The sequence below is a fragment of the Homo sapiens genome, chromosome 16, assembly GCF_000001405.40.
Source record: "Homo sapiens chromosome 16, GRCh38.p14 Primary Assembly".
Lineage (NCBI taxonomy): Eukaryota > Metazoa > Chordata > Mammalia > Primates > Hominidae > Homo > Homo sapiens.
The window spans coordinates 30,916,122-30,919,318 of NC_000016.10; positions in this window are offsets into that span (position 1 = coordinate 30,916,122).

Consider the following 3,197-nt stretch of genomic DNA (forward strand, 5'->3'; position numbering starts at 1 on the left):
GACAAGAGTCTCGCTCTGTTGCCCAGGCTGGAGTGTAGTGGCACAATCTTGGCTTAATGCAACTTCCACCTCCCAGGTTCAAGTGATTCTCCTGCCTCAGCCTCCCGAGTAGCTGGGATTACAGGCGCCTGACACCACACCAACTGATTTTTGTATTTTTAGTAGAGGGTTTCACCATGTTGGCCAGGTTGGTCACAAACTCCTGACCTCAGGTGATCCGGCTGCCTCAGCCTCCCAAAATGTTGGGGTTACAGGTGTGAGCCACTGCGCCTGGCCCCCCTAAGGTGTTTCTTCACACCTGGAGGAATTAGCCTCACCTCAGGTCCTGCTCTGTTGTCCAATGCGTCTGCCTTGGCAGAGGTCAGAGGTCAGCAGCTCTGCCCTCCCACCCCCACCTCCATTGTGCCCTACCCTGCAGGGCGACTTGTCTCCATCTTTGTTTTGGTCACACTAGAAGCTGAATTCTTGGGAATCCCAGCAATTTAGGAGGCAGTGGGCTTTGGCTCAAATCCTGTCTTTGTTCATTTTTTTTTTTTTTTTTTGAGACGGAGTCTCACTCTGTTGCTCAGGCTGGAGTGCAGTGGCGCGATCTTGGCTCACTGCAACCTCTGCCTCCCAGGTTCAAGCGATCCTCAAGCCTCAGCCTCCCGAGTAGCTGGGATTACAGGCATGCGACACCATGCCCGGGTAGTTTTTACATTTTTAGTAGAGACCAGTTTTCACCATCTTGGCCAGGCTGGTCTGGAACTCTTGGGCTTAAGTGACCTGCCTGCCTTGACCTCCCAAAGTGCTGAAATTACAGGCATGAGCCACCATGCCCAGCCCAGTCGCTATTTATTTTTAATATTTTCCTCAGTCTTCCCCTACACCCAGATTTTTTCATTATATTACTACTTTCAATTTACTAGTATTCATAACATGTATAGTATATTCCATTCTGTACCTCAGACTTTTTAAATTATTTAATCTTAGATTGATATTTAAATATTTTCAATGGTAGCCAACTATGTATTTATTTATTTGTATTTTTTATTTTTAGAGATGAGGTCTCATTCTGTTCCCCAGGCTGGAATGCAGTGGCTCAGTCATGGCTCACTGCAGCCTTGACCTCCCAGGCTCAATCTCCTACCCCAGCCTCCCGAGTAGCTGGTACTACACGTGGGCACCACCATACCCAGTTGATTTTGATTTTTTTTTTAATTTTGCCAGTAGAAACCCCGCTATTGGCCTCGTGTGGTGGCTCATGCCTATAATACCAGCACTTCCAGAGGCCGAAGATCACTTGAGCCCAGGAGGTCGAGGCTGCATTGAACTATGACTGCACCACTTCACACCAGCCTGGGCAAGAGAGCAAGACCCTGTCTAAAAAAAGAAAATAAACCCAAACCCAGCCATTGATGCCATCCATTCCCCCAGGATCACTGGCCAGTGAAGTCTACTAACATGTTCCTCGGCCATCTGAAGCCATACACACTGCTGGGCACTTCACTTCTGGGATTTTCAGTAACCAGATCCACTGCAGCTTGGAGAGCTTGGCTTTTTGGTGATTGCTGATCCCAAGGCTGACCCTGAGCTTCTCACAGAGGCATTTTCCGTTCACTCGCCCAAGTTGGTCAGTGTCAATCAGACTCCTCTGTTCTATATCGATGTTGCCATCCCACATAACAAGAGTTCAATTATTGGGTGCCTTGCAGTGGGTGGTATCCCAGAAAAAGCCTCCATCCTGTGGCACTAACTTCCCCTGGGAACCGCAGGAAGCTGTGCTTGTCATAAGGGCTGTCCACAGGTTTTCTAGTTCTTCTCCCAAGCATGTGGCAAGAGTTGGCTTCTCTAACCCCTTTAATTAGTTATGGCTATCTCTGTAATATATATACATATTTTTTGAGACGGAGTCTCGCTGTCGCCCAGGCTGGAGTGCAGTGGCGCGATCTCGGCTCACTGCAGGCTCCACCCACCGGGGTTCACGCAATTCTCCTGCCTCAGCCTCCTGCGTAGCTGGGACTACAGGCGCCCGCCACCTCTCCTGGCTAATTTTTTGTATTTTTAGTTGAGACGGGGTTTCACCGTGTTAGCCAGGATGGTCTCAATCTCCTGACCTCGTGATCCACCCGCCTCGGCCTCCCAAAGTGCTGGGATTACAGGCGTGAGCCACCACGCCCGGCCTATCTCTGTAATATTTTTAGACAGGGTCTCACTCTGTCGCCCAGGCTGGAGTGCAGTGGCTCGATCATGGCTCACTGCAGCCTGGACCTCCTGGGCTCAAGCGATCCACCCACCTCAGCCTCCCGAGTAGCTAGGACTACACATGTGCACCACCACTCCAGCTAATTTTTGTATTCTTTTGCAGAGACACAGCCTTGCCAAGTTGCCCACGCTGGCCTTGGGCTCCTGGGCTTGAGCAGTCTGCCCAACTCAGCCTCCCAAAGTGTTGGGATTACATGCATGAGCCACCTTGCCTGGCCAGGGTTAGCTATTTGACAGGTCAATAAAATGTGAGCTGAATTGACATGTCACTTCTAGGCAGAAGCTATAAAAACCGCCTTCTTCTTCTTCTCCTTCTCCTTCTTCTTCCTTCTTCTCCTTCCTCCTCCTTCTCCTCCTTCCTCCTCCTCCTTCCTCCTCCTTCCTTCTTCTCCTTCCTCCTCCCTCTTCTTCTTCCTTCTTCTTCTTTCTTCCTCTTCTCCTTCCTTCTTCTTTCTTCCTTCCTTCTTCTTTCTTCTTCTTCTCCTTCTTCTTCTTCTTCTTCTTCCTTTCTTCTCCTTCTCCTCCTCCTCTTCTTCTCCTTCTTCTCCTTCTTCTTCTTCTTCTTCTTCTTCTTCTTCTTCTTCTTCTTCTTCTTCTTCTTCTTCTTCTTCCTTTCTTCTTCTCCTTCTCCTCCTCCTCTTCTTCTTCTTCTTTTTGAGTTTCACTCTTGTTGCCAGGCTGGAGCACAGTGGCATGATTTTGGCTCACGGCAACCTCTGCCCCCCCGGTTCAAGCGATTCTCCTGCCTCAGCCTCCTGAGTAGCTGGGATTACAGGTATGTGCCACTGTGCCTGGCTAATTTTGTATTTTTAGTAGAGACAGGGTTTCTCCATGTTGGTCAGGCTGGTCTCAAACTCCCGACCCCAGGTAATCCGCCCACCTTGGCCTCCCAAAGTGCTGGGACTACAGGCATGAGCCACCACACCCGGCCCTTTTTTTTTTTTTTTTTTTTT